The following is a 27,284-nucleotide window of genomic DNA, read 5'->3' as shown; positions in this document are numbered from 1 at the left end:
CTCGCCCTGAGCCCGCCGTCTGGAGGCAGGGCAGTTTCACTTCACACCTGCTGCTCTCAAGGGACACAGTCTGTTCTGCCTGAAATAGACTCCCAGGCACATGTGTAGAATCCCCCCTGCCAACCCCACCTGTGCGGTCCTAGCACCCCCGGCAGCCCTGCTTCTGAGCTGGAAACCCACTTTGTAGCAAAAAGAGGCACCATGGCAGGGGTCATGGGGCTCCCTGTGTCTTGGTGTCACCTTCTCCAGGTACAGGCTCCTGATGGGAAGGCCTGAGGGTCAGTGTGGCCAGGATGCAGCTCCTGGCTCTGTGGCCTGCAGTTTGAGTTTCCCTCGACAAGATGGAGCTCCCTGGTCCTGTCTGCCCCACACCCCGCAGAGCGGCTGAGGCCCCCAGACGCCTAGCCAGTGAGGCGGGGCTGTCCTGGAGGAAGGCTAGGAGTCCACCTCAAACTACAGAAAGCAAAATGGGGGCGTCCCTGCCTTTCCCTGACACTGAGAGCAGAAGAGCGGCCTCTTGGTTTCCCACCAGGAGCCTGCACCTGGAAAAAGTGACACCCAGACACAGGAATGATTGGAGACGGTCCCGGGCAGAGCCTCGGTGCTGGCCTTCAGTGACAGAAGGGACATCCTCCCCAGAGTTCCCTAGAGTCTGGCCTTGCTTGTGTTCCGTGCTTCCTCTCATAGCTGCCTCTTGCCAAGGCCAAATCCCCAGCTACTGGACACGCTCCACCACTGACATACCACGGGGCCTTCCGCGGAGGTGCTCCCGCACCCCTGAGGCTCTTATCAAACAACTGCCACTACTCCCGTCCTCAGGACAGGGTCAGGCTCCTTATCCTGACACCTGGGGCGGGGTGGTGGGGTACACAGGCGATCAGGCGATGGGCGGTGCCGGGCCTGGGCTGGGGAGGACAGGTGGCTGCCGGTGCCAGGCCTGCATCTGGAGGCTGCGGCCAGCATGGCCCATGCCCAGCAGGGGCGCACCAGGGTCAGACCTGATGTGGCCGCGAGGCCCCGTCGGCTCCGCGGAGAGGAGCCCAGGGAAGAGCAGGCGGAACCGTGGGTGAGGCAGTCCCGCGGCACCAGCGCAGAAGCAGGAGGGCAGGCAGCGGCGAGGACAGAATGAGCAGTGAGGGAGGCAGCGGGTGCGTGGAGACCGACGACGAGTTCGCGTTGGGAGGCGCTGCTGAGCCTCAGGGCGGTATCGGGCCCGGAGGAAGGTTTGAGCGGCCGACACCGGTCGGGAACAGCGCAGGGTCGGAGCTGCAGAGCCTGAGAAGGCGATCCGGGCCCAAGGCGACGCGCAGGGCCCCGTTTCCTGCCACCTGAGGGCGGCGCGCGCGGGGCGGGCACGACGCGGCGGACCCGGGATGGAGGCGGCCCCGACCCCCGCGAGGGCGAGTGGCGCAGGGTAGGGTCTTCCCGAGAGGCCACGCACCCGGGCGGCGGGGAGGTGGAGCACCAGGAGGTGGGCGAGAGCGGGGCGCGGCGGGAGGGGCTCGGGCGTGTCGCGGGCCTGCGCCGAGCGCTCACAGGTGCGCGTACACGCGCACTCCCACACGTGCGCGCACAAGCACATGTGTACATGACACGCAAGCGCGCGCCCACACTGAGCGTGTCCCGGGCCAGGGCACCCCCCTGCCAACAGCTCACCCGGTCACCCACAGCGGCGCGGGACGTGCGGGCTCTCACCTGTGGGGGCCTGTGGGCTCTCAGCCGACGCGGGCTCCCTCGCCTGCCAGCCCGCTTTCCTCTGCGGCGGGCGGTTCTCCCCGGGCTTCCCTAAGGGAAAACGACCGTCAGTGAGCTTGGGATGAGAGACCCCCATCCCCATTAGCCTCAAGAGACACTTATGGGGCACCGAAAGGGCCGTGCGTCCTGGCAGACAGGGAGCCCCCCACCCGGGCCTCCTCCCGAGGGAAGCACACGGACAACCTTAAGGAGCACGGGCTCCTCCAGCAGCACATACTCCACTGCACAGGGGGCCTCAGGGAGGCACAGGCGAGAGCCAGCCCGCAGGAAGGCACCTGGGCTCTTGTGGGCCCAAGGATGGGCAGGTGGTGCCTCTGCTAGAAGGACCCTGTGGGCTGGCAGTGCCGCCTGCTGGCCCTGCCCCACCCCTGACACTGTCCCCCACCTTGTGCCACGTCCCTCCCCCAGGCCCTTTCCGGTCTCTGTGTGTCCAATTCGGCACTCCCCTGGCAGGTGGCTGTCCCTCTGCTCCTGAGCTTCTGGGACTAGGACTGAACAGGAGCAGGAGCACTGCTTCAGGCAGGGTTGCGCCAGGCAAACCAGTCCGGCCAGTGTGGCTGAGCCGGCTGGGATGGGGCCCTGGGCGTGGGCGTGAGTCAGCAGCCCCGGGCTGGGGAAACGCTAGGGAGGAGGCCACCTGGAGCCCACCCTCCCAACAAGAAGCCCAGAGGACGCCGGCATTTGGGGCTAGCCCTGCACCCCCACCTCCAGCCTGGAGACCCAAAGGCAGCTCTGATCCAGTCAGGCCCTTGTTGCAGTGCAGTGCAGGACAGCCAGCCCCCAGCCAGGATGGCACCAAGAGCCCCCGCCCCACCTCCATGACCGCCAGGACTTTCCTCGGGGCCCCACATCAGTTCACAAAGTGCCACGCAGGGCTTTGAGGGCCCAGTCTCTCCAGCCAGCCGCAGTGCAGTGGCCCGAACCCTGCCCTAGCTCCCACCGGGTCCCTGGGTCCTTTGTCTCCACCAAACCCCAGCGGGGCTCCTGTGGGCGTGCTAGCTGCCCTGGAGCCCTCCAGAGTGCATGGGCTGCGGGTTCCCATGGCCAGCTGGGCTCAGGTTGTCTGTGGCCAGGGAGGGTCTGGGCCCTGAGGGTCAGTGCGACCAGGATGCAGCTCCTGGCCCTGTGGCCTGCAGTTTGAGTTTCCCTCGACCAGCTGTGGGACCGGGGGAGCCGGGATGGGGCGGGGGCGGGGGGCATTGGTGCCGCCCAGGGCAGGACCAGGCACGCCCGTTGCTGCGCACAGCAGGCACTCTGGCTGCTGCGCTGCCTCCTCCAGCTTCTCAGCCTCCCTCCCAGTCTCGCCGGCAGGGCCCGTGGCCTGTAAAGCCCCGTGCCGCCGTGTCAGCGCGTTAGTCAGCCTCTCAGCCCAGGCGAGCCACCGCGCCGTGGAGTCCCTATAAACTCCCTGGCGTGGCCTGGCCCCACCGAGTGGGGTCAGTGAGGCCCATAGGCAGAGCCAGAGTCCCGAGCTGCGGTGCTGCGGGCTCCAGCAAGGGGCAGGACCTGGAACAGGGGGCCAAGCCTGGCGTGGGAGCACACGGCCACTGTAGCCTCCAGGGACGCCCTCTGAGCTGGCCTGAGGCCGGCTGGTCCATGAGCCAGGGCCCCTGGGGAGCAGACACCTGGTGAAGGAGGCGCTGGATCCAGGGCCATGTCTGGGAAACGAAGTCGAGTTCGCAAACCCCGGGCCAGGAGGGCAGGCAGGGCCCAGCCGGCAGCTGGGCAGCAGGGCCCTGAGGTCGAGCCCCCGCCCCCCACCCCAGGGGGCCCTCAGGGTGAAGCGGGGGTGGCCCCTACAGGGCACGTGACCAGCATCGAGCCAGCACCTCAGGGACACCCCAGGGTGGCCAGGCCAGAGCAGCCACAGGCAGCCTCGAGACCGGTGCCGGCCACTGCTCCGGGGTCTGAGCTGGTGCTGGTCCTTGCTGGGCACATGGAAGGCTGTGGAGCAGGGGACCCCATGCCGGCCCTGGGCCCCGAACTGCTGAGGCTCCATGAGGTCCAGCTGTGCCTGGCCCAGGAGCAGCTGCTGCTGGAGGACCGGTGGCGGCAGGTCCAGCTGCAGATGCAGCTGTGGCGGGAGGAGCAGCTATGGCTGCAGCAGCTACAGGAGGAGCAGCTGTGGCTGCAGCAGCTACAGGAGGAGCAGGCCTGGGTACACGTGGAGGGGCTGCAGCTGGCCGTGGCCCTGGAGCAGCTCCGGAGTGAGGGCTTCGAAGCACTGCAGACCCAAGGCCAGGTAAGGCCTGGATGGGGTGGCGGGAGGGGTCCCGGACTGTTGTGTTGGTGCGGTGGCCACTGCAGCAACCTAGGGATGCCTGTGGAGGCCCAGGAAGCCAGGCTGGATGCAGGGTATCTGTGGGCCCATCTTCACATCTGCCAAGTGAAGCCGGTGCCCGCCACACAGGGCACTGCAAGACCAAGGGACAGCAAGCCTGCCCAGGCTGGCCCAATGCTTGGTGGAAATGGGCACTGAGGGCAGATACTTGTTCAGGGACAGAGGTGTCCCTGCAGCAGACCCAGGCATGCTGGGCCAGAGCCGTCCAGGGCAGTGTATGGGCTGCGGTGCAGGGCGAAGGCCTGGGTGTGCAGTCAGTAGGTAGCAGAACTGAAGAGCACAGCCCCCACCCCTGCAACCCAGTTTCCTGGCTGCCTTGCTGGTCCACCTGCCCTGCCCCCCGTTTATTGGAGTGCAGTGTACTCAGGGCTAGAGATTGCGGAAGCAGCATGCGGCACCTGTGCCCATTATCCTCATTCCAGGAGGGCGGCTGGCCTCAGACGCAGCTGGGGCTATTTTGGGGAACTAGGATCTAACCCCAGCCTGGCGTGGAGGAGCGGTCACCATCATCCCACCTGCTCCTGTGAATCTGGGAGCTCTCTGGCAACCAGGGGTGTTAGGCCAGGCCCACTCTAAGCAGAGGGGCAGTCTGGGGAGCAGGATGGGGTGCTCTCTTAGCAAGCACAGACCCCAGTGCAGGCCTGGGTGCTGAAGGACCCCAGATTTGCAACCTGGAATGTGTTCACAGCCAGCATAGAGAATAAATGGGAGCTGGAGCAAGGGAGTGACAACAGTGAAGGCGGGGCTGGGGTGGGGGAGGGTACTGGGGGAAGTCTCCTTCCTGACCCACAGGAAAACCCAGCCCAGGTGAGCTGTCACCATCCAACCTGGAAGTGACTATGGAGAAGGTGACTGGGAGCAAAGCCGCAGGCAGAGGGCAGCACAGGATGGCCCAGATGGAGCAGAGAGTCAGAGAACACATGCTTAGACTGAGAATCCCCAACTTGGACTCAAACCCTCCTGTTTCAAAACCCATTTTTGGCCATCTAGGCGCCTCCCACTGGCTCCTGCCCCCTTCCCACCTCCATGTGTTCCAAAGCTGGGCTTCTCTGAGTGCTACCCCTAGGCCCCCACCCCAACCCCAGGGGTATAAGATTCAGGCTTGGCCGGGCATGTGGCTCAAGCCTGTAATCCCAGCACTTTGAGAGGCCGAGGCGGGCGGATCACCTGAGGTCAGGAATTCAAGACCAGCCTGGTCAATGTGGCGAAACCCCGTCTCTACTAAAACAAAAATACAAAAATCAGCAGGGCGTGGTGGCGCACGTCCATAATCCCAGCTACTCGGGAGGCTGAAGCACAAGACTCACTTGGACCCAGGAGGCGGAGGTTGCAGTGAGGAGGGATTGCGCCATTGCACTCGACTGGGTGACAAGAGCGAGACTCCGTCTCAAAAAAAAAAAAAAAAATAGATTCAGGCTCAAGGTCTGAGATGAATGAATGGGCTCTGAACCCTCAGTCAATCACACCTAATCCCAACTCAGAGGTCCCCTAAAAGCCACTCTTGGAAGAAGGGCTCTCCTCAGAGGGGGTGTCTCTCGGTGGCTACATAGAAGGTCTCACAGGTCAGTGTCTGGGTGACAGTGCTCTGGAGGTCAGAGGGTGCACTTACCAGCAGCAGCTCTTGTCTTGGGCCCAGGGTGGAGCGTCTGCCACTTCCCAGCTGCAGCTTTGGGTCTCCCCTTCTTACTGTCCATTCTCCTGGGGGGTGGGTAGGGAAGGACCAGGGAGAGGGTGCTCAGAGTGGCAGAGGGCAGGGGCAGTGGCAGTGGGGAACAGGGCACACCATGGGCGCCTGAGTGGATGACAGCAGGAACATGGGCTCCCCTGAGGCTTCCCAGCTGGTGTCCTGTCTGCCTGCCCGCCCCGGGTGTGTGCCCAGAAGCTTGAGCCGGGATGCCTGGCAAGAGCACTTGGCCACCTCCCGTCCCCCTGGCCGTGGCTTGCCTGCCCCTCCGCCCCAGGCTCAGCCCATCCTGCCGGGCGCAGGATCTGGAGTCTAGCACTCTTCTCCCTGCCCCAAGCTGCTGGGTTGCCAGTGGGCCGGTCTTTGTTCTCACCGTAATCATGAGCATGGCCCTCTCTGCTGAAGCCTCCATGCCTCTCCACTGCCCTGGGAAGCCAGCCCACCCCTGAGCCTGCTCCCCAGCCCACCCAAGGCACTCACCCCTCCACACCCTCAGACCTTATGTGGTCCCGGCTCTGGCAGATGGTGGTGTCAGGCCCTGGAGCAACACCCCTCTCCCTAGTCCACACAGCTGACCCCCAAGTTCATTTCCCTGGGAGGCTCCTCCTGCCTGCCCCAGCCTGTCCGGGTCCTCCCCGGTGCCCCATGCCCCTCACCCGCTGCAGCACAGTTGCCTGGGCACTGGTCTGACCCCCCACCCATGTTTCCAGCATGCTGGTACCAGTGGGGTGGCACTGAGTGTTTGGGGAAAGAACAAATGAAACTGGGACTGACCCTGAAAACAGAAAATAGGATCACATGGCAAGAGGAACAAAGAGAAAGGCGACTGATGACCATCAGAAAGGGTTGAGGCAGGGCCAGTCCTTGGGGTGGGAGTGGCAGGGGCGAGGGGTGGTGGTTTGGACAGATGATCCAGTGTAGGGCAGGGCCTAAGAGGGGGAGGGGCCCTAAGTGAGGGCCTGAGGGGGACCTGGGGGACTGGAGCACCCAGGGGCAGCTCGGGGTGGTGTGTGGGGGTTGCTGTGTACATGGGGGGGCGTCTGGTATGAGGCTTGGTGTGCACACTGGGTCCCTTGTCCGTTGGGGCTTGGTTTTTGCAGAGTCCCTGTGTGTACACAGGGTTCCGTATGTGAGGGAGGTCCCCTGTGCTCTCAGAGTCAGTGTGAATATGGCATCCCCTGTTTGTGTGTGGGGTTGGTGTCTGAGAAATCTCATATGCAGGTGGGGTTCCCTAGGTGTGCGGATGTCAGCGTGTTCGTGGGTGACTGGCATGGGCAGGACTCGGTGTGCTTGTGGCTTCTGTCTTCCTGAGGAGTCTCCTGTGCTTGGGGGTTGGTGTACATGAGGCACAGGTCATTCGGGGTCCGCATGTGCATGGGGGGGTCACTGCGGCAGAGTCCCCTACAAGTGTGGGCATCGGTGTGAGGGGGTGAGGGAGAAAGATGGGGGACCCCAGGTACTTGTGGGCATCAGTGTGTGTGGTGGGGGTTGGGGTCTGGGGGTCCTCTGTGTGGGCGGGGTCCTCGTCTACGTGTGGGGCGCTGGTGCGGTGGGAGACCGGTGTGTGGTGAGGGGATCCCCTGTGCTCTCGGGGCTCCCAGACCCGGCCCCGCCCGGGGCTCGACGCCGCCCCACCGTCCTCACCTGTCGCACCTGCCTCCCCCAACTCGGCGAGGAGGCCAGAGCTCCGCCCCTGGCGTCGGGCTCGCTCGTTTCCTAGCGACTGAGCCGGAACTTCCGAGTCACCCCGACTTCCGGGGCGAGGGTCAGGGGTCAGGCTGGGAACTTTGAGCCTTGGGTCAACAGTTGGGCTCCCGGGGGTCGGGGTCTTTGAAGTGCGGGCCTCACGGTCTCCGGCGGCGCTGGGCCGGGGTCTCCGGGCGCGCGGCCGCAGGGCACGGGCGGGTCGGGGCGCGGGCCGGGGGCGCGGGCTGGGGCTGGCGGCGGGCGCGGGGCGCAGGAATGCGGGCGCGCCGCGGGTGGGGCTGCCCCGCCCCCAGGTGCTGCCCGGGCAGGCAGGAGGCAGGAGCGACGGGCGGGGCGGGGGCGGGCGCGTGAATCAGGCCGGGCGGGCCGCGGCAGGGAGTGGCTGCCGGACCGACCGGACCGCGAGGCCGCTGGGCGGCGGTCGGCTCCTGCTGCCCCTGTGCCGAGACCCCGCGCACCTGGCCAGGTAGGGCCCCCCTCCCCCGGCCCGAGCGGGGCGGGGCGAGGCGGGGGGCGGGCGCCCCTTGGCGCGGTCCCACTTGGGCTACCCTTGCGCCCACACCTGGGCCGGGGCCGCGCGACCCAGAGAGGGGCGGTGGGAGTGGAGCGCGGCCGCGTGCGCGGGGCCGGGGTGGCGGGGCTGCTCGGACAGGGGGCGCCGCTGTGCGGATATGGACGCGAGCGCCCCCGCACGACGCCGGCCCGAAAAGAGCCGAGGGGGAAGGGGCCCGGGATCCGGGTCGAGCCTGCCCGGCCGTCCCGACTCGCTCCCGCCCTCGCGGCCTAGCTGGAGTCTGGGTGCTGGGCACGGCCTGGACCCTTCCCTGGGGACATCCGCCCGGGCCGCCGTGGACTGGGGTGGCCAGGGTGCGGCCTGGATCCCCGCGTGGCGAGCAGGGCGAGTGATGGGAGTGCTGCCCCTCGCGCCCACGTTCCTGGGCTGGGGTGGGCGGATAGGGCACCCAGCGGCCGCAGCCGCGAGCTCGTAGGGTGCACTGACCCCGTTGGGGGCTGGGGTGCCCACTCCGCAAGTTATCACTGAGCGACTTCCGGTCTGTGAGCCCCGTCCTCCGCACCCCACCTTTCCGCCGCCTAGAGCCTCCGCGCCCTCCTGCGCCCATCGGAACTTGGCACAGGTTCACCCCACTTTGTGTAGGAACTCCAGATCCTTCCATGGGGTCCTCCTTCCAGATACTCAGGAACCCCACTTCCTGCCAGGGTGGAGAGGATGGGGTCCTTGAAGGCCAGCTGAGGGCCCTGACTTCGAGTCAGAGGTCAGGGGTCAGCAAGCAGAAGAGTGGATTCGTGCTGAGTCATTGCCCATGGGTGGGTTCCGCGCCCTCCCTCCCTTGGGCAGACGTTTGGTAGGCAAATGTGTGGGCATGCAGGCCACTGGGGTGCTCCATCTTGGGCTCGGGAGTGGCTGCAGCCCCGTCCATAGCCCAGGAGACACGTACCCATGAAAGGAGACGACGTGAGGAATGAAGCAGTTGGAGGTCTGGGCATCACCCTGTGAGGACGAGGCATGTCTGCTGGGAGGGCTCCTGGCCACGGGGGCTTCCACTGTCTGGATGGTCCCTGCCCCCATTACACACAGCCTGGAGCCTGGACACTGAAATCCAAAGGGACAGTGGGGGTCCTTTCTAGAGTGTCCCCCCAGTGTCGGGAAGTACCCTCAAACAACATCAGCAGGGTTGTTCCCCCTGCCCTGTATGGTCAGACACCGCCCCTACAGACAGGCTGGCAATGGTGAGTGGGCTCCTCGGCCCAGCCAGACAGGCCTACACCTCACCCCCATGTGGTTGGCCTCGATCTGCCCCTGGCACAACCAGAGCGGTGTGCCCTAACCAGCCCCATATGTCAACCATGAGGACGGTGCCCCAACAAAGAAATGTTGGGACAGCTTCTCCCAAGCCGGTTGGCATCTAGGGCTGTTGAGTGGCACCAGGTATTTCCCATGTCTCAACTCCATGTCACCCCCAGGGGCACCAGGCAGGACGGCTGCCTCCTGACCCCAACATTCTCAGCCAAGTGGCTCCGGCTAGCACCCATGTAGTCCAGCTGGCCGGCATCCATCCTGTCAGCGCCCAGGGGCACGCTCCTCTGGGCACCTTCCTAGCCAGGGCCAACATTCAGGAACCTGTGTGCTAGGCGGGGACAGGTGTCCTGCCTCCCTCCCCAACCCGAGGAGCAGTGGGATGGACTGAGCAGTCCCTAGGGCTCTCCTTCCAGGGAGAGGTACCCAGGTAGCTCAGTGACCCTGTGTGCGTGGGCCCTGGGCGCTCCCCATCTGACACCTTTCTGGAGAGGCCAGGCCCCCGCAGGGACCCTTTGGAGAACAGAGTGGGCTGTGGGGCAGCCAAGCATGGATGGTGGTGGCGAGCCCAGGACCTGGAAAGGTCCCTGCTGCCCTGGATGGGGGCTGGTGGGGACAGGACTCTGAGCAAGTGGAGAGCCAGATTTGGGCGATGTGGAGTGCAGGCCCTGCAGGGCCCTGTGGGCACCAAGGGGCTGTGGCCCAGGGAGGTTTTATCTGAGAGGGACAGTGACAAGAAAGAGGTCAAAGGTAGGCCAAGGGAAGGAGGGGGTGCTGGGAGACAGGGACGGAGTCTAGGGATCAGTGTTCCAGGACTGGGCGGTCATAGAATGGGCTGTGGGAGCCCAATTGTGAAACCCTGAGGATGGGGAGGAGGTGTGGCCCGGGACTATGTGTGGGGCTTAAGGTTGCCATTCCAGGAGGAGGGTAGTCACAGCCCTGTTTGCTGCGCTCACCTTGGGCTAGGCGTGGTGTCATGTGGACCCTCAGCTGTGTTGTGCAGTAGAGGTAGGCCAGAGAGGTGCAGTGACCTACCCACAGTCTCCCAGGCAGTCAGAGACGGACACATGGGCAGCATGGGCGGCACCAGCTTGTCCAGTAGGCACAGTGCCAGGGGTCCGTGAATGTCTTAAAATAAGAAAAAAGTGAATATTATAATGATGAATGCAGCCTGGATTGTTTGTCTTTAAGCCAACAGTCATGAAATATTTGGGGGGGGGGGTTCGTTTTATTTTTATTTTTTGTAGTGATGTGGTCTCACTCTGTCACCCAGGCAGGAGTGCAGTGTCACAATCATAATTCACAGCAGCCTCCAACTCCTGGGCTCAAACAATCCTTCTGTCTCAGCTTCCCAAGTGCCTGGGACTATGTGTGCACGCCACCATGCCTGCCTAATGTTTAAAATTTTTTGTAGAGATGGGGTCTTGCTGTGTTGCCCAGGCTGGTTTCAAACTCCTGGCTTCAAGCAGTCCTCCTGCCTCAGCCTCCCAGAGAAAGGAGAGACAGGGCTGGGATACCTGTGCCCCAGCCCTCTGCCAGTGTCCCCTCAGCTAGGGGCATCCTAGGGTCTGGGTTGCTCTCTGTGAGCCTGGTTCGGCTGGTGCCCTGGAAGGCCTCCTGGGCATGGGCTAAACTCCAGCCTACCCAAGTCACTGACGGCCCTTTCCACAGTGTGTCCATGCTCGAGGGTAGGAGTGGTCCCAGTGCCCCCACCCCTAGTCATGTGTCTCCCTGCCCCTCCAGGCCCCTGGCCCCAACATGGCCCGTCGCTCTCAGAGCTCCTCGCAGGGGGACAACCCACTGGCACCCGGGTACCTGCCGCCTCACTACAAAGAGTACTACCGCCTGGCGGTGGATGCACTGGCCGAGGGTGGCTCGGAGGCCTACAGCCGCTTCCTCGCTACCGAGGGGGCACCAGACTTCCTGTGCCCTGAAGAGCTGGAACATGTGAGCCGACACCTTCGGCCTCCGCAGTATGTTACCCGAGAGCCACCTGAAGGCAGCCTTCTCGACGTGGACATGGATGGCTCCTCGGGTACATACTGGCCAGTGAACTCAGACCAGGCCGTGCCTGAGCTTGATTTGGGCTGGCCTCTGACCTTCGGCTTCCAGGGCACCGAGGTGACCACCTTGGTGCAGCCACCGCCCCCCGACAGCCCCAGTATCAAGGATGAGGCCCGCAGGATGATCCGTTCCGCCCAGCAGGTGCGCCATCTTGGGCTTGAGGGTAGTGGGGGAGGGGCCTGGGCTAGAGGCACGGGGGTGGAGGAGATGCATGAGCATGATCAGCTTGAGGGGTGAGCCTGAGCTCCAGCTGGAGTGGGGGTCCCTGGCAAAGATCTTCAGGGCTGCCAGGTCTCGGTCATCAGGGGCTGCAGGCTCTGCACAGGTCTGCTTGCCTGTGGTCATGGCCAGTGCCCAGAAACTCGGGGGCTCTGGGGATGGGTGGGCACCCCACCAGCCTGGGTTCATTGTTCAGATAATTACCTCTCATCCTGCCCGGTGGCCCTTGGCCAGCTGAGGGCTTCTAACCATCACCAAACAGCTAGCAGACGGCGGAAGGTGCTGTTAAACCATAGCGACTGAGGCATGAGGTCCAGACGCTAAAGGCTTGTGACTTTCTCCCCTGCCCAGGGCAACAACCCCGTCCCAGGGCAGAACTGGAGCCTGGCACTTGGCCCTGACAGCTGCCCTGGAATGGGGGCAGCTCAGCCGTCTGTAGGGTGGAGGGGATTGAGGGGCCCTTGCCGTGCCCCAACCTGGCCCACCCTCATCCAGGGTTCTCTGCCCTGCACCTGCCTCGGTTTCCCCCTTATGGCCAGCCGTTCCACACCTCTTCTGTTTGGTCCCTTCTTCCTGCCCATCTTCCCAGATGTGGCGCCAACTCCCTAGGATGGACTAGCTTGTTTCACAGTGGTCGTGGGTGATCCAGACACCTCCCGGGTGTGGAGGGGAGGCTGGACAATGGTGTGGGGACAGCAGGGGCCTCTCCTCTCCGTCCTGACCCGCCCCTGCAGGTGGTGGCCGTGGTGATGGACATGTTCACTGATGTGGACCTGCTCAGCGAAGTGCTGGAGGCCGCGGCCCGTCGGGTCCCAGTCTACATCCTGCTGGATGAGATGAACGCGCAGCACTTCCTGGACATGGCCGACAAGTGCCGTGTCAACCTGCAGCACGTGGATGTGAGTTCCCGGGAGTGGGAGATTGGGGAGGACCCGTGGGAGAGATCTGACTCCCCTCCCTCCCCAGTTCCTGCGCGTACGGACTGTGGCGGGCCCCACCTACTACTGCCGCACTGGGAAGTCCTTCAAGGGCCACGTCAAGGAGAAGTTCCTGCTGGTGGACTGTGCCGTGGTGATGAGTGGGAGCTACAGGTGCGCCCGCGGGGCTCCCTCACCCCCTTCTCTGGGGCCTCCTCCTGTAACCCCAGCACCCCCTTTCCACACCAGGGCCCTCCTCGCCAGGAGCCCTTGTCCTGTAGACCCCTGCACAGCCTAGCCGGGCCCAGGTCCTTGCAGACCTCACATCCCTGCGTCCTCCGCGCCCCACCCGCTGCCCACGGGGCTGCAGTGCCCTCGCTCCAGCTCGGTTTGACTCTGGCCCTGACCCCCCCACAGCTTCATGTGGTCCTTTGAGAAGATCCACCGCAGCCTGGCGCACGTGTTCCAAGGAGAGCTGGTCTCCAGCTTCGACGAGGAGTTCCGCATCCTCTTCGCGCAGTCCGAGCCGCTTGTGCCCTCGGCCGCGGCCCTGGCCCGCATGGACGCCTATGCCCTGGCTCCGTATGCCGGGGCCGGGCCTCTCGTGGGCGTCCCTGGGGTCGGGGCGCCAACCCCCTTCTCCTTCCCTAAACGAGCGCACCTCCTGTTCCCGCCACCCCGGGAAGAGGGCCTGGGCTTCCCCTCCTTCCTCGACCCGGACCGCCACTTCCTGTCGGCCTTCCGCCGGGAGGAGCCGCCGCGGATGCCGGGGGGCGCGCTGGAACCGCACGCGGGGCTGCGGCCGCTCTCGCGGCGCCTGGAGGCCGAGGCCGGGCCGGCTGGGGAGCTCGCGGGCGCGCGGGGCTTCTTCCAGGCGCGGCACCTGGAGATGGACGCCTTCAAGCGGCACAGCTTCGCGACCGAGGGCGCGGGCGCCGTGGAGAACTTCGCGGCCGCGCGGCAGGTGTCGCGGCAGACGTTCCTCAGCCACGGCGACGACTTCCGCTTCCAGACCAGCCACTTCCACCGTGACCAGCTCTACCAGCAGCAGTACCAGTGGGACCCGCAGCTCACGCCGGCGCGCCCGCAAGGCCTGTTCGAGAAGCTTCGCGGGGGCCGCGCGGGTTTCGCGGACCCGGATGACTTCACCCTGGGCGCCGGGCCCCGCTTCCCGGAGCTCGGACCCGACGGGCACCAGCGGCTGGACTACGTGCCGTCCAGCGCGTCCCGCGAGGTGCGCCACGGCTCGGACCCCGCCTTCGCGCCCGGACCCCGCGGCCTGGAGCCCAGCGGAGCCCCGCGCCCCAACCTGACCCAGCGCTTCCCATGCCAGGCCGCGGCGAGGCCGGGCCCAGACCCCGCTCCCGAGGCGGAGCCGGAGCGCAGGGGCGGGCCCGAGGGGCGGGCAGGGCTGCGGCGCTGGCGTTTGGCCTCCTACTTGAGCGGCTGCCACGGCGAGGATGGGGGCGACGACGGCCTACCGGCGCCCATGGAAGCGGAGGCTTACGAAGACGACGTGCTGGCTCCCGGGGGCCGGGCACCTGCCGGCGACCTGCTCCCCTCGGCCTTCCGCGTCCCAGCAGCCTTCCCCACCAAGGTCCCGGTGCCAGGCCCGGGCAGCGGCGGCAACGGCCCAGAGCGCGAGGGCCCGGAGGAGCCTGGCCTGGCCAAGCAGGACTCATTCCGCTCGCGCCTGAACCCCCTGGTCCAGCGCAGCTCCAGGCTGCGCTCCTCGCTCATCTTCAGCACGTCACAGGCCGAGGGCGCGGCCGGGGCTGCGGCGGCCACTGAGAAGGTGCAGCTGCTGCACAAGGAGCAGACGGTCAGCGAGACGCTGGGGCCCGGCGGAGAGGCCGTGCGCTCCGCGGCTTCCACCAAGGTGGCGGAGCTGCTGGAGAAGTACAAGGGCCCAGCCCGTGATCCCGGCGGCGGCGCGGGCGCCATCACCGTTGCCAGCCACAGCAAGGCCGTCGTGTCCCAGGCGTGGCGGGAAGAGGTGGCGGCCCCAGGTGCCGTGGGGGGCGAGCGCCGCAGCCTCGAGAGCTGCCTGCTGGACCTGCGCGACTCCTTTGCACAGCAGCTGCACCAGGAGGCGGAGCGGCAGCCGGGAGCCGCGTCGCTCACCGCGGCGCAGCTGCTCGACACACTGGGCCGGAGCGGCTCCGACCGCCTGCCTTCCCGCTTCCTCTCTGCCCAGAGCCACTCAACGTCCCCGCAAGGGCTGGACAGCCCTCTGCCGCTGGAAGGGTCCGGAGCGCACCAGGTGCTCCATAATGAGTCAAAAGGGAGCCCCACCTCGGCTTACCCTGAGCGGAAGGGGAGCCCCACGCCTGGGTTTTCCACTCGAAGAGGAAGTCCAACTACAGGATTTATCGAGCAGAAGGGGAGCCCCACCTCAGCCTACCCCGAGCGCAGGGGTAGTCCGGTGCCCCCCGTGCCGGAGCGCAGGAGCAGTCCGGTGCCCCCCGTGCCGGAGCGCAGGGGCAGCCTCACCCTTACCATCTCCGGGGAGTCCCCGAAGGCCGGGCCCGCGGAGGAGGGGCCGAGCGGCCCCATGGAAGTCCTGCGCAAAGGCTCCTTGCGTCTTAGGCAGCTGCTGAGCCCCAAGGGCGAGCGGCGCATGGAGGATGAGGGTGGCTTCCCAGTGCCGCAGGAGAACGGCCAACCCGAGAGCCCGCGGCGTCTGTCACTGGGCCAGGGTGACAGCACGGAGGCTGCCACAGAAGAGCGGGGTCCGCGGGCGCGCCTGTCCTCAGCCACGGCCAACGCCTTGTACAGCAGCAACCTTCGGGATGACACGAAGGCCATTCTGGAGCAGATCAGTGCCCACGGCCAGAAGCACCGTGCGGTCCCTGCCCCGAGCCCCGGCCCGACCCACAACAGCCCCGAGCTAGGCCGTCCACCGGCTGCTGGCGTCCTGGCCCCAGATATGTCCGACAAGGACAAGTGTTCAGCCATCTTCCGCTCGGACAGCTTGGGGACCCAGGGCCGGCTGAGCCGCACGCTGCCAGCCAGCGCGGAGGAGCGCGATCGGCTGCTGCGCCGCATGGAGAGCATGCGCAAGGAGAAGCGCGTGTACAGCCGCTTCGAGGTCTTCTGCAAGAAAGAGGAGGCCAGCAGCCCTGGGGCAGGGGAAGGCCCCGCGGAGGAGGGCACCAGGGACAGCAAGGTGGGCAAGTTCGTGCCCAAGATCCTGGGCACGTTCAAAAGCAAGAAGTGAGTCTTCTGGCCTGGCAACCCAGGCCAGGGTGCCCGCATCGCTGCCCCGGTCATCCAGAAGCCCCGCGGAACAGAGAGCCCTGCTCATCTGCTTGAGCAGCGGCTGTCAGGCCACGGCCGCTTGGGGCTTGGCTGAGTGCGCCAGACCTCGGCTCCACTGGAGGCTCACCTGGCAGCTGCCGTCTCTGCCCCCTGGCCTCCCCAACGCTGGGGCTGCACCCCTCGCCACCAGTGCCTTTCTCCCCTCAGCACCTTCATCTCTGCACCGTCAGCCTTGCGTGGCGCAGCGTCTGGCTCCGCCATCTCTTTGTGCCTCAGTCCCCCCCGCCCCCTTTATTTTTTTGAGACCTAGGGCTGGAGTGCAGTTGAGCGGTCTGGGCTCACTGCAACCTCTGCCTCCCGGGTTCCAGCGATTCTCCTGCCTCAGCCTCCTGAGTAGCTGGGATTACAGATGTATGCTACCACGCCCAGGTAGTTTTTGTATTTTTAGTAGAGACAGGGTTTCACTATGTTGGCCAGGCTGGTCTCCAACTCCTGGCCTCAAATGATCAGCCCGCTTCAGCCTCCCAAAGTGGGGGGATTACAGGCGTGAGCCTTGCACCCCGCTAAGTCCCCTATCCTCTTGCAAGGGTCTCGCCTCTGTGCCTCAATTCCTCATTCTCTGGGCCCTTCTCCTCCTCAGGGCCTCCTGTTCTCAGGGCCTCCCCCCTCCCCGCTCCCTCCCTCTCTCAAGGTCTCCTCCTTCCCTCCCCCCCCCCCCCCCCCGTCTCCCCCCTCCCCCGCCTGGGCTTCACTTCCTTTCCTACTTGGATTCTCCTGCTCGCTGCCTCCCAGCATCTTTTTTGGAGGCCCGTCTCTTGCTGTGGGGAAGACTGGGCTGGCTGCGGGCAGTTTGCAAGGGGTGGGTGGGGCAGGGGGGGGGGAGCTGGACCAGAAGATGCCCCTTGGAGTGGCAAGGAAGCTGGACAGGGCAGGCCTCTGGGGACGGGACACAGGGAAGCCCGAAGGGGCGCCTTGGCCAGGTCTGCCATCTCCTCCAGCGAGGCTCTGGCCAGCACTGGGTGAGAGTGGGGAGGGGGCATTGGCCTTTGCAGCACAGTAAAACATGGTCCAGACAACCTGTGGCCCCGGCCTCATGAGCACCCCCTGCACAGGCCCGGCCCAAGCCAGGCGCTAGAAGGGCTGGTTGTGGAGTGCTTATCCTTGACAGGTATGGGGCCAGGTGAGGGCAGGGGACAAGGTGCAGCTGAGGCCGAGCCCAACTAGGTCCTGGGCACCCCTGCAGGTGGGAGTGGTCCTTGTCCTCCTGGTATCCAGCAGACACCCCCCTCTCCCCACCAGCCCCATTCTCAGGTCCTTTCCTCTTTGTCACCAACACCAAGAATCTGTCCAGGGTTCTTGGCTTATCTTTTATCTCTTTTCACTCCTAGAGAGGAATTGCAATTGACTCAGAATGACACATTTTGGCACCACGTGTGTAGAAAGCCCCCACTGTTAGATGATAGCCTCGTGAAATTCATGTTTCTGTATTCTCCTATTTCTTTTCAAAAACTAATTTTTTTTTTAGTGTAATAAATCCTAAGAGGGAACTGATTTAAGAAACAAGGCCGCCAAACAAAGGCAGCAGTTCCGACTCCAGCAGCTGGGAAAGGAAGGAAAGTGACCCCACTTTCACTCCTGCACAGCCCACTGGTTACCAAAACCACCGTGCAAGTCGGGATGACAGCAGGGACTTCTGGCCAGGTGGGAAAGGTGCCTGGAAGCGGGATGCGCCTGTGCGTCTCTTGGCCATGATGTTCTTGTGGGCATGTTATTCTTGGTGCTGCCTGGGGTGTTGCTGAGCGGACAGGCTCTCCAGCTGGAGTCCATGGAGAGGCCAGAGGCTGGCGGCCCTGCCTGGGCCTTCGGAGCCTCCTGCCTGCACCCTCCACCTCTTCTAAACCATGATGTGGCACATTTTGGTGTTAATAAAACACAACACACAAAGTATTCTAGCATGTTCCCCAGTGTGTATAATCGCCCAGTTACATCCTGCAGCCTTTAACCACGTGGCCTCCCAGATTTCCCCTGTGGACCCACCACCCACCCCTGTGGGGGGCACTAAAGACCCCCCAGCTCCACTTCCAAGGCCCACCTTGGCCTCCCCAACTTCACGCTGCTCTCCTGTCCCTGTCCCCGATGCCCCCTGTGCAGGCACACTCCTGGGTGCCCACCTGCGATTCCCCACTCAGCAGCCCCACCACACACTGCCCAGCCTGAGGCCAAGCCTCCAACCCTGCAGCCCCGTGGCCTCTCTGCAGCTTCCTCTCCCACAGCCTCTCTGTCCTGCTTGTTCAGCACCCTGGGCCTGCGCCTTGGGCTTTTGAAGCTCAACAAGCACCTCCCTCGGCAGCCCCCTCAGGAAACAGCCCCTGGGCTGGGTCTCTGACTGGCTCACCGCTTCCTCGGGCCCTCCCGATCCCTCCTCCGCCTCCTCCAACCTTCTCCCAAACCCAGCCTCCCTTTCTGAGTCTCTTGCAGGTGCCTGGTCCAGCACCAGGGCAGCGCCAGCTCTCACCTTCTGCTCAGCTCCCCCACCCACATCTTGTCCTTCCCCGCCCTCCCCCATGGTGGCAATGGCTTCCACAACCCAGCAGCGCCCCTCTCCTGGCAGCCCAACACCGACCACAGCACAGGCCGCACCCTTCAAACTGTGAGCTCCTCCGGCCTATGAGCTTCCCAGACTGTGAGCCTGGCAGCCCAACTCCGCCACCGACAGCACAGGCCGCGCCCTTTAGACTGTGAGCTCCTCCAGCCTGTGAGCTTTCCAGCTGCCTCCTTGTGTTCCAACCCCAACCCATGGGCAGGTGCAGCTGAGGACACCTGGCACCCTAGGACACAGGTCTGTGCCCACAGGGCCCCTTTGATCTTTGCAGCCCTGCACAGCCCTGGCCTGAACTCACACCAGGGACCTTGCCTGGGGGTGACAAGAGGAGGTAACCCTGACCTCGCGAGATGTCTGTCTCCCACCCTCACCTACGGAGACCTGAAGACAGATCAGGTGCAGTGGCCATACTAGGGGGCGCAGGCTGCAGTCCCTGACAGCAGGGGGAGGGGTGTCCCCCTTCTCTCTCCCCTTCTCTCCTCTGGCTCAGAGTCACAAACATGGCCAGGGGGTGACCCTACATCCCTACCCCACAGGACCACCCTGGGGGGCAGCCTGGACCCTGAAGCCACAGCAGGTAAGGAAATGATGGACAAAGAACAAGAAGCTGCCCCAGGCAAACCTGGAGGGAAAAGCCCAGTGCTGGATGTGCAGTGGGCAGGGCCTCTAGGGGGCGGCACTGGGCTCTGGGGTGGAGGTTTCAGGACGGGGGTGGGGTGGGGTCCTCAGAGGAGTGGAGGCTTCAGGAAAGGGGCCGGGGCCCCCAGCTAGTGGATGCTGTGACCTCAGAGGGGAGGGGAGGAACGATGGCTGCTTAGGTTGGGGGCAGACATGACTTTATTGGAGGAAGTCAGTGGGGCGGGGGCAGGGCCCTCATCTGCTCCCCCGAGGAGACCCGGGCAAGCTCCCTGGAACTTCAACGGGCCAGGCAAAGCAGGGAGGGCTAAGGGGTGCAGGAGACTGGAGAGGGGTCTGGGGAAGGGGCTGGGGCAGGAACAGAGGGCCAGGTGAAGGGAGTAGGGCGGCTCACACATGGTGCCCCTCCAGCAGGGGCAGGTGGCCCAGTGCCGAGTGGCAGACAGTCCCGTAGGCTTGGGAGTAGCCTCCAAGCAAAGCCCTGGCACCCCCCTGGGCACCCTGCAAGGCAGAGGTGCTGAACATCCTCCGGCCGGGCCGGGCCTCCGGAGGAAGCCGGGGAGGGACCTGTGTACAGTTGAGGGTCACATAAAGGGGCCATCAGAGGGGGTGCAGTGGAGGGGAGGCCTTGAGGTCCTCGAGAGATTTGAACTGGACATTGGAGGGGCAATGGGAAGCATGGGGAAGGGAGGGAAAAGCAGGGGGGAAGGGGAAAGGGGAAAGGAGGATGAGGGGACGGGGGCAGACTGGGCCGGGCTTACCTGTTGTACGCTGGCCACCCTCACCCCACCGCCCCGGTTCCAGTCACCCCGGATCAGGGCCTGGTTGGCCACCTGAGCCGCAGCCTGGGAGGTCAGGGAGGGCGCAGCTCCCCTCCCGCTTGGCTTCACCTGGGAAGGGCCATGTCACAGGGTCACTGAAAGGTGCAGAGGAGGGGTCCCTCCTGTGCCCGCCCCACCATGACTTACCAGCGAGAGTGTCAAGGGGGGCGCTTCCTTCGCCCCAGGGGGCCTTTCCCCATTCCCTAGGAGAGCAGTTTGGAGCAGGGGAGCGGAGTTCTGCCTGGGAACGTTCTTGGCTGCACGGGGGGACTCTGTGGGGTCAGTGGGTCAACCCCGGGGTCAGTGGGTCAACCCCAGGGTCAGGAACCGAATGCTGCGCATAGTTGGCAGCACAGGCAGAAGGGGCCCGGGCCGTGCTCCGCGTGGGCGGCCAGCAAAGATCACACACCGTGCTCGGCAGGGTCATGGCCTGGGCTGCTCTGGGGCCTGGGTCTGGGACCCTGCACAGGTGTCCTAGAAGGCAGCTGAGGGTCGGCTCTGGGTTTGTGCAGGTGTGCCTGGCTTGGGGAGACACCCTCCGGGCCCTTCTCTCTCGAGGTGCCGCTGCTGCCTCCACACTCCAGGATCATCTGCGGGAGGGGAAGGGTGCTCAGAGGTCACAGCCTGGGCATGGGGCGTTTGGGGGTCTCTGACATAGGAGGCAGCCTCCAGGGTGCAGTAGACAGGGGATGATAGGGGTCGAGAGCCGGAGCACCTGATAGACGCGGCTGCGGTACTCAGGCACAGAGAGCTGGACCCCTTCGTGTGCCCGGGGCCGCACATCTGCCTCTCGTGCCCACTCGTCGCTGGGGCAGTGGAACCTGCAGGGAGCCAGGGAGGTGGGGCCCGGGCTGCGGCCAAGGGAGCCCCTCAAGCCGTCACAGCAGGGTCCCTGCTGTGGGGGCTGTCCCTCATGGGCTGGCTCTCTCCTGCCCCCACCTCTGTCCCCCCGCACTTGGGGGACTCTCTCCCACCCCCACCTCTGCACGTAGGGGTGCTGCAGTGCCTGGGTCGCGCTTAACCGCTTGTCCGGGGCGAACACCAGGAGTCGCCTAAGGAGGTCCAAGGCCTCTGGGGAGGTGTCTGGCGGTAGGAGGGCATCCAGCGTCTGTCGTGGCCTGTGGGCTGCCGTGTGTCGTCTCCAGGGCCCGACCCAAGGGCCCCTCCTCAGATCCATGTTCGTGGCTGGGGGCTCAGCTTCCAAACTGGGGTCCACCCTGCTGTCCTGTCTAGGTAGATGCCCCTGTGCCTGACCTGCAGGCAGTCTGGGCCCCTGCAGGGTGGAGAGACCCCTGCGGCCCCCTGGTGCCCTCCTCTCCACGCCCTGGCACAGCTCCTCTGGGCCACCCTCTAGGAGCACCAGAGGGGCTCCTGCTTTCAGTGTGGCCAACAGTTGTTGGGTTTGGGACTGCCATCTTGAAAACAGGCAGAATCTGAACTGGTACAAACTGGCCCCAGTAAACTTGCAGGAAGGTGGCCCTGCTCCCTTGAGATAGGCCACCCTGTCACCCTCACCGAAGTGCCCCCACTCACCGGGACCCCAGCTGGTGCAGCACAGAGGCACGGCAGCCTGAGCCGAGAGCCAGGAGGTCTGGGGCAGCAGAAGGTGGTGTGACCCAGGCAGGCCTGGTCGGCTGGGGCGGCTCAGGGCATCTGGGGCCAGTCATCTCTTCCAGCCCCAGGGAGCACAGCCTCTCTACAGGGTTTCTGCTGTCTGGCGGGGCTCAAACACCCCATCACCAGGGCGTGCCACCCAGCCTGTGCACGGGAGCACCCGCACATGACCCCTGCTCCACACTCGGGCACCTGGCCCTGGGGTGTGCTCACAGAAGTGGATGCTGGCGCCCACCTCCACGGCCCAGGAGGCTCCACCCAGACAAGCAGCTATGCCTGGCGGTGCAGCTCCCTCTTGCCCCCGCCCTCAAGAGTGACCCCCATGGCCCCTCTACCACTGCCTTCCTCCACCTCTTCCCTCAGCACCTGAATCTCTCCTGCCCAGCTGTCTCTGCACACCCCAGCTCCCGGCACAGTGACAGTCCCTGCCCCTGCTACCCGAATCCCTTGGGGACCTTGTCCAGCCTGCTGGCCCCTTCACGGTCACTGCTTGGCTCTCATGGTGACTGTGCCAGGTGCTGCCTTGCCCACACCCACCCCCAGCAGCTCCTCCTGGGCCCCCATCACCAGTCGGTCTTCCTGGGGCTCCTGCCCCATCCTCTGGATCCTCCCTGTCCCCGTCCCTCCTCTCAGCACAGTCCTAGCCTGTCAGCTGCTGTCTCCCCACAGCTGTGCTGTCTGACCTGCAGCATTCCCGGTGCCCAGCCCCAGCAGCCTGGCTCACCCTCCTCAGATGGCGGTGGGATGGTCTCCAGGATCAGCTCCAGCTGGTGGAGGGTGGACGTGCCGGGGAACAGGGGTCTCCCCCGCAGCATCTCCCCCAGGATACAGCCCAGACTCCACATGTCCACCCCAAGGGTGTATCTGGGGCAGGAAGCGGTGTAGGCATGGAGAGACCCAGAGGCAGAGGTGGGGGTGGGGTTGCTGGGGGGTGAATGGGGGAACACTTGTGGACCAAGGCAGGGTCGGAGTACGGGAGGCCTGGGAGCCCTGGCTGGGCAGGAGGGCAGCAGGGAGGTGGAGGGGGGGTTGGGGATGTCTCGCTATTACCGGTGCGAAGAGAGCAGCACCTCCGGTGCTCGGTACCAGCGTGTGGCCACGTACTCTGTCACGGCCTGGTCCTCAGGCCCCTCGGGGAGGTCGCCCAGGGAGCGGGCCAGGCCAAAGTCACACAGCTTCACTGTGCAGTTGGCATCCAGGAGCACATTGGACGGCTGCAGAGAGGAGGCAGGCTGAGGCCCCGGGGCTGGGTGGGGCCGGGAGCCGGGCCACGTGGCATAGCGGGGGCGGGGGAACCGCACCTTCTGGTCCCGGTGCACAACGTGCCCCGAGTGGAGGAACCGGGTGGCCCGCAGGAGCTGGTAGAAGATGGAGCGCACGTGGACGTCCTGCAGCAGGCCGCCCTTCCGGATGACTGCGTTCAGGTCAGTGTCTGCAGAGAGGGTGCGCACTGCAGTCGGGGGTGGGGGGCTGGGGGGGCAACCTGGGGGGAGTGGGAGAGGGGCACCTGGCAGGTCTGTCCCACTTTGAACCAGCCCACGGCCTGGCCGCCCCGCTCCTCCATCCTGTGCACTGCCTGTGGGCACAGCGGTGAGGTCTGCAGGAGTTTTAACACTTTATTTCATGTTGCCTTTGTTTCATAAAATGAGAAGAAAAAGGAGAACGCAACTGCAAACTGTGGTCAGAGCAGGAGCCTGGGGCAGGTGGGACGAAAGGGGTCGCTGCTGGCTCTGGAGGCTGACACTAGTCAGCTGTCTGTCCCTGAGTCCAGGGTACATGGTGAGGGAGCAAGCCACTGTGGGCCAGCTGCAGAGGGACACGCAGGGGGACACGCAGAGGGACCCGCAGACGGCGTCAGGACAGAACAGAGGTGGGGCTGGGGCGCTGGCCGGGGCCTCACTCACCCATAAACTCAAACACCAGGTAAATGTCCCTGTCGTTCTCTGCCCGGATCACGTCAAGGAGGCTGATGATGTTGGGATGGTCCCCAAACTCCTGGGGAGAGAGTCGGAGGCGGCTGGAAGGCCAGGAGGGGCTGTGCTCTGGGGCCCAAGAAGGCCAGTTTCTCTCCTGTCTGGAGAGATCTGTACCTGGGCAAGGGGATTGGACTGGAGGGCCCAGGCCACTCACCTGGAGGAGCGTGATTTCCCGGAATGTTCTCTGAAGAGACAGAAACACAGGTGTGTGGGTGGGTGGAGCAAGAAGGAAGCCCATGTCCTGAGAGGACCCAAAGGAGCTGATGTCTGTCACCCAATACCCACCAGACCAGGCGTGGCAAGGGGGCAGTGTTCCGAGACAGGCCAGAACATCTGCTATGACTGGGCTCCAGCTCCCACCTGAGCTTCCAGGCACCAGGGCAAGGGGCTGCCCCTCCCTGCCCCCATCCTCTCCCACGCTTCTCCCCACACACTCACCTGGGCATCTGTCTTATCCCTAAAAGCATCAAAGATTTTCTTGATGGCCACGACCTCACCAGTCCTCCGGTCCACTGCCTTCCACACAATGCCATAGGCCTGGGAAGGAGTGCCGTCACACAGGGCCAGCCCCTTCCCCCCATCCCCTGCCCACCCAGATTGTCCCTACAGACATGAGGCTCCTCCTTCCCATCCTGGGTCCCGAGAGGGGATGGGAGTGTGGGCTCCCGCAACTGCAGGCTGCCCTAGACTCCGACATCTTCCAGAGGAGGGGAGGTAGAGGGAAGGGAGGGTGAGAGCTGGCGAGGCCCTGGAGGAAAGGAGGCCACAGAGGGGAGCGTCTGGGCAGGAAATGAAGCTCGGGGATGCCCTATCATCCTTCCAGCTGCCCAGGCACTCTCCCTCCCTTTCTCTCACACCCCATCCACCCCCAATCCCATTGGCCCTACCTTCAGATTCCTCCAGAATCTAGCCCCTGCCACGGTCTCTTCTGCCCCCACCCTGGTCCCAGCCTCTGGCATCTCTCGCTGCGTGGCTACGCTAACCCCTTAACTCATCTCCGTCTGCCGCTCCCGTGCACACCCACGGTAGGTCCTCAGCACAGGGGTGGGCCTTGTAAAGTGACACCAGCAGCTGCTACAGCTCCCAGCCTCAGCAACAGTAAAAACCAAAGTCTTGGAAGTTCCCCAAAGCTCCCACACGATCGGACCCTCACCACTCACCTGTCTCTCTCCATCTCCTATCCAGTTGCACATACACAACCCTGCACTGGGCCTACGCACTTACCGTCTGCACTGCCTGGAAGGCTCTTCCTCCCCTCCCCCATGGCACCCTCGAACACCCCCCCACACACCCACGCACACACACACAGGCTTACATGCTCACACACACACACAGATACACAAGGCTCTGCCCTTCACTCTGCGCCCACCCCATAACCGCTCAGGCCCTTCTCGGGCCTCGCCCCTGTGCTCCTGAGCCTGGGGTCCGCCCTTCCTCTCAGTGACCCGGGCGCGGGCCCAGCCTCCCCAGAGCGTCGTGTGCACCCGGGAAGCGGGCGACTGTGGACGCGTGGGGAGTGGGGCGCCAGGATCCCTCTGCCTGAGGCCTCTGGCGGCCCTGGCTGTCACCTGCCTCCAGGAGCCAGGTTCCTGGGAGTCAGGATCGTGTTACCCCATGAGGAAACTGAGGCACGAAGGGGCTCCAGACCACCTCTCCCGCCTACGGAGGAGGCAGGACGCCAGTGTGTGACGGAACAGGCCTCCGAGGGGACCGGCCGCGCCCCGCAGGTCCTCTCTCCGCAGATCTGCCGCGCCCCTCGGCGCGCGGACGCACCCCCAGGCACTCACCCCCTGCCCGAGCTGCCGCCTGAGTAGGTATCTCCGGACAATGCGAGGGTCCACTACGGTGCACATGGCGGCCAGGACGCCCGCGGGGCCTTACTGTTGAGTCGGTTGCCGTGGGAACCGACGGCGGCCCGGCCCCGCCCCTCGGGGCGCCCCTCCCAACACCCCCCGCCCCCGGCAGGCCCCGGCTCCGCCCCACAGTGGGCCCACCCCACCTCCCCGCAGGCCCCTCCCCTCAATGCGCCCCGCCCACGTCCCCACCGGCCCCGCCCCACAGTGCGCCCCGCCCACCTCCTCGCAGGACCACGCCCAGCCCAGCTGACTAAAGTAGAAACAAGAACTATCTGTTGTGGACTCTATAACTTGTAGAAGTAAAATGCATGACACCAATAGCAAAAAGTGAAGGGGGATAATGGAAATACACATTTATACTATTACAAAATAACATGAGAATATGTATTGTAAGGTTCTTAAGTTACATGTGAAGTATTAATAGTATATTATTATTTGGGCGGGACACGGTGGTTCACGCCTGTAATCCCAACACTCTGGGAGGCCGAGGCGGGTGGATCACCCGAGGTCAAGGGTTCAAGACCAGCCTGGCCAACGTGGTGAAACCCCGTCTCCACTAAAAATACAAAAATTAGCCGGGCGTGGCTAATGACTCAGGAATTGGAGACCAGCTTCGGCAACATAAAACCTCATTTCTATTAAAAAAAAAAAATAGGAAAATTAGCTGGGTGTGGTGACATGAGCCTGTTGTCCCAGCTACTTGGGAGGCTGAGGTAGGAGGATCGCTTGAGCCGGGAGGCAGAGGTTGCAGTGAGCCTGGATTGCGCCACTGCACTCCAGCCTGGGTGACAGAGCCAGACCCTGTCTCAAACAACAACCACAACACAAACTACTTGCTCAAAAAGAATTCAAAAAAAGAAGGAAAAGGAACAAAGAAAAGATAAGACCAGTAGAAAACAAATAGCAGGGCTGGGCGCAGTGGCTCACACCTGTAATCCCAGCACTTTGGGAGGCCGAGGCGGGTGGATCACGAGATCAGGAGATCGAGACCATCCTGGCCAACATGGTGAAACCCCGTCTCTATTAAAAATACAAAAAAATTAGCTGGGTGTGGTGGTGGGCGCCGTGGTGGGCGCCTATAGTCCCAGCTACTTGGGAGGCTGAGGCAGGAGAATCACTTGAACCCAGGAGGTGGAGGTTGCAGTGAGCTGAGATCGCGCCACTGAACTCCAGCCTGGCAACAAGAGCAAGACTCCTCAGAAAAAAAAAAAAAAAAAAAAAAAGGCTGGGCGTGATGGCGCACGCCTATAATCCCAGCACTTTGGGAGGCCGAGGCAGGTGGATCACCTGAAGTTGGAAGTTTGAGACTAGCCTGGCCAATATGGTGAAACCTTGTTTCTACTAAAAATACAAAAATTAGCTGGGCATGGTGGCGTGCACCTGTAATTCCAGCTACTAGGGAGGCTGAGGCAGGAGAATCGCTTGAACCCAGGATGCAGAGGTTGCAGTGAGCCGAGATTGCACCACTGCACTCCAGCCTGGGTGACAGACTGAGACTCCGTCTAAAAAAAAAAAAAAAAAAAAAAAAAAAGCAAAAAGCAAGATGGCTGACGTAAAACTTACCATTTTTCTTTAACTAAAAAGTAAACTTTAATGTCGAAAATGCAAACTTGGGGAAGACAGAAAAGATCACACACAAGGCTGTCACTTCACACTTGGAAGGTTGCACAGCGGCCGGGCAGAGGCGCTCCTCACTTCCCAGACGATGGGCAGCCAAAGTGCTGGGATTACAGGAGTGAGCCACCGCGCCCCATCCCTTTTTTTTTTTGAGACAGAGTCTCGCTCTGTCACCCAGGGTAGAGTGCAGTGGCGCCATCTCAGCTCACTGCCAGCTCCGCCTCCCAGGTTCACGCCATTCTCCTGTCTCAGCCTCCCAAGTAGCTGGGACTACAGGTGCCCGCCACCACGCCTGGCTAATTTTTTGTATTTTTAGTAGAGACGGGGTTTCACCGTGTTAGCCAGGATGGTCTCGATTTCCTGGCCTCGTGATCCACCCACCCCGGCCTGGGCACTAT

The 27,284-nt window shown here is 64.0% G+C and overlaps 3 protein-coding genes and 1 non-coding gene across 18 annotated transcripts in view, besides 6 other annotated features; 2 read left to right on the top strand and 2 right to left on the bottom strand.

Annotated features, from left to right (window-relative positions):
• The window catches only part of IQANK1 (IQ motif and ankyrin repeat containing 1), a 56,507-nt gene extending 49,002 nt beyond the window's left edge, over nucleotides 1–7,505 (bottom strand). For all 6 annotated transcript variants that reach the window (NM_001381874.1, XM_047422100.1, XM_047422102.1 and 3 more), the window contains exons 1-3: nucleotides 7,425–7,505; nucleotides 5,706–5,794; nucleotides 1,696–1,785 (exon numbers count right to left, since the gene is read on the bottom strand). In NM_001381874.1, coding sequence (NP_001368803.1) covers nucleotides 1,696–1,785; nucleotides 5,706–5,790 — 175 coding nt within the window. In that variant the 5' untranslated portion in view covers nucleotides 5,791–5,794; nucleotides 7,425–7,505. The remainder of the gene's footprint in view (nucleotides 1–1,695; nucleotides 1,786–5,705; nucleotides 5,795–7,424) is intronic.
• Nucleotides 422–1,285: an enhancer, noted in NCBI's record as "H3K27ac-H3K4me1 hESC enhancer chr8:144822529-144823392 (GRCh37/hg19 assembly coordinates)". NCBI's record gives its function as "activates a minimal SCP1, AML or CMV promoter by ChIP-STARR-seq in naive H9 embryonic stem cells {active_cell/tissue: H9 hESC(naive)}" and the evidence as "EXISTENCE:reporter gene assay evidence [ECO:0000049][PMID:30033119]".
• Nucleotides 3,014–3,879: an enhancer, noted in NCBI's record as "H3K27ac-H3K4me1 hESC enhancer chr8:144819935-144820800 (GRCh37/hg19 assembly coordinates)". NCBI's record gives its function as "activates a minimal SCP1, AML or CMV promoter by ChIP-STARR-seq in naive and primed H9 embryonic stem cells {active_cell/tissue: H9 hESC(naive and primed)}" and the evidence as "EXISTENCE:reporter gene assay evidence [ECO:0000049][PMID:30033119]".
• FAM83H (family with sequence similarity 83 member H) lies at nucleotides 7,865–17,711 on the top strand. Its single transcript, NM_198488.5, has 5 exons — nucleotides 7,865–7,953; nucleotides 11,047–11,508; nucleotides 12,321–12,485; nucleotides 12,553–12,677; nucleotides 12,921–17,711. The coding sequence occupies exons 2-5, from the start codon at nucleotides 11,062–11,064 to the stop codon at nucleotides 15,721–15,723; spliced, it is 3,540 nt and encodes a 1,179-aa protein (NP_940890.4). The 5' UTR covers nucleotides 7,865–7,953; nucleotides 11,047–11,061; the 3' UTR covers nucleotides 15,724–17,711.
• Nucleotides 8,491–8,561, top strand: MIR4664 (microRNA 4664). The gene has a single exon (NR_039810.1). It is a non-coding gene; the product is annotated as a microRNA 4664 (primary transcript).
• Nucleotides 8,631–8,925: an enhancer, noted in NCBI's record as "tiled region #4007; HepG2 Activating non-DNase unmatched - State 1:Tss, and K562 Activating DNase matched - State 1:Tss". NCBI's record gives its function as "activates a minimal TATA promoter and a strong SV40 promoter by Sharpr-MPRA in HepG2 and K562 cells {active_cell/tissue: HepG2 | K562}" and the evidence as "EXISTENCE:reporter gene assay evidence [ECO:0000049][PMID:27701403]".
• Nucleotides 8,631–9,012: a biological region, named in NCBI's record as "Sharpr-MPRA regulatory region 4007".
• Nucleotides 8,802–9,012: a silencer, noted in NCBI's record as "fragment chr8:144814802-144815012 (GRCh37/hg19 assembly coordinates)". NCBI's record gives its function as "represses an EF-1alpha promoter that drives an FKBP-Casp9 reporter gene in an ReSE screen in K562 erythroleukemia cells {active_cell/tissue: K562}" and the evidence as "EXISTENCE:reporter gene assay evidence [ECO:0000049][PMID:32094911]".
• Nucleotides 18,020–18,521: an enhancer, noted in NCBI's record as "H3K4me1 hESC enhancer chr8:144805293-144805794 (GRCh37/hg19 assembly coordinates)". NCBI's record gives its function as "activates a minimal SCP1, AML or CMV promoter by ChIP-STARR-seq in primed H9 embryonic stem cells {active_cell/tissue: H9 hESC(primed)}" and the evidence as "EXISTENCE:reporter gene assay evidence [ECO:0000049][PMID:30033119]".
• On the bottom strand, nucleotides 19,186–25,295 carry MAPK15 (mitogen-activated protein kinase 15). Of its 10 annotated transcripts, none has more exons than NM_139021.3 (14): nucleotides 25,201–25,295; nucleotides 23,852–23,950; nucleotides 23,568–23,597; nucleotides 23,342–23,432; nucleotides 22,739–22,869; nucleotides 22,488–22,651; nucleotides 22,162–22,301; nucleotides 21,357–21,414; nucleotides 20,804–20,941; nucleotides 20,539–20,644; nucleotides 20,233–20,413; nucleotides 19,971–20,095; nucleotides 19,764–19,892; nucleotides 19,186–19,569 (listed from the first exon to the last, which is right to left on the bottom strand). In NM_139021.3, the coding sequence occupies exons 1-14, from the start codon at nucleotides 25,264–25,266 to the stop codon at nucleotides 19,393–19,395; spliced, it is 1,635 nt and encodes a 544-aa protein (NP_620590.2). In that variant the 5' UTR covers nucleotides 25,267–25,295; the 3' UTR covers nucleotides 19,186–19,392. The 10 variants fall into 10 exon arrangements, 8 of the variants coding, with proteins under 8 accessions (NP_620590.2, XP_011515227.1, XP_011515228.1 ...); XM_011516925.3 differs by lacking the exon at nucleotides 25,201–25,295 and adding an exon at nucleotides 24,301–24,416 and having other exon boundaries at nucleotides 23,568–23,654; XM_011516926.3 differs by having other exon boundaries at nucleotides 19,186–19,892; nucleotides 23,568–23,654.
• Nucleotides 25,296–27,284: the final 1,989 nt, after the last annotated feature.

Source organism: Homo sapiens, chromosome 8, assembly GCF_000001405.40.
Source record: "Homo sapiens chromosome 8, GRCh38.p14 Primary Assembly".
NCBI classification, from domain to species: Eukaryota; Metazoa; Chordata; class Mammalia; order Primates; family Hominidae; genus Homo; species Homo sapiens.
This window is presented reverse-complemented; position numbering and strand designations above follow the sequence as displayed.

Excerpts from the sequence above, each read along its gene's own strand:
- FAM83H (NM_198488.5), top strand. The coding sequence starts at position 11,062 with ATGGCCCGTCGCTCTCAGAGCTCCTCGCAGGGGGACAACCCACTGGCA. Across the intron at positions 11,509-12,320 it reads TGATCCGTTCCGCCCAGCAG|GTGGTGGCCGTGGTGATGGA; the intron begins GTGCGCCATCTT and ends CCGCCCCTGCAG. Across the intron at positions 12,678-12,920 it reads GTGATGAGTGGGAGCTACAG|CTTCATGTGGTCCTTTGAGA; the intron begins GTGCGCCCGCGG and ends ACCCCCCCACAG.
- MAPK15 (XM_011516925.3), bottom strand. The coding sequence starts at position 24,372 with ATGCCAGAGGCTGGGACCAGGGTGGGGGCAGAAGAGACCGTGGCAGGG. Across the intron at positions 22,302-22,487 it reads GTGCTGCTCTCTTCGCACCG|ATACACCCTTGGGGTGGACA; the intron begins GTAATAGCGAGA and ends TTCCTGCCCCAG. Across the intron at positions 20,645-20,803 it reads CAGCACCCCTACGTGCAGAG|GTTCCACTGCCCCAGCGACG; the intron begins GTGGGGGTGGGA and ends GGCTCCCTGCAG.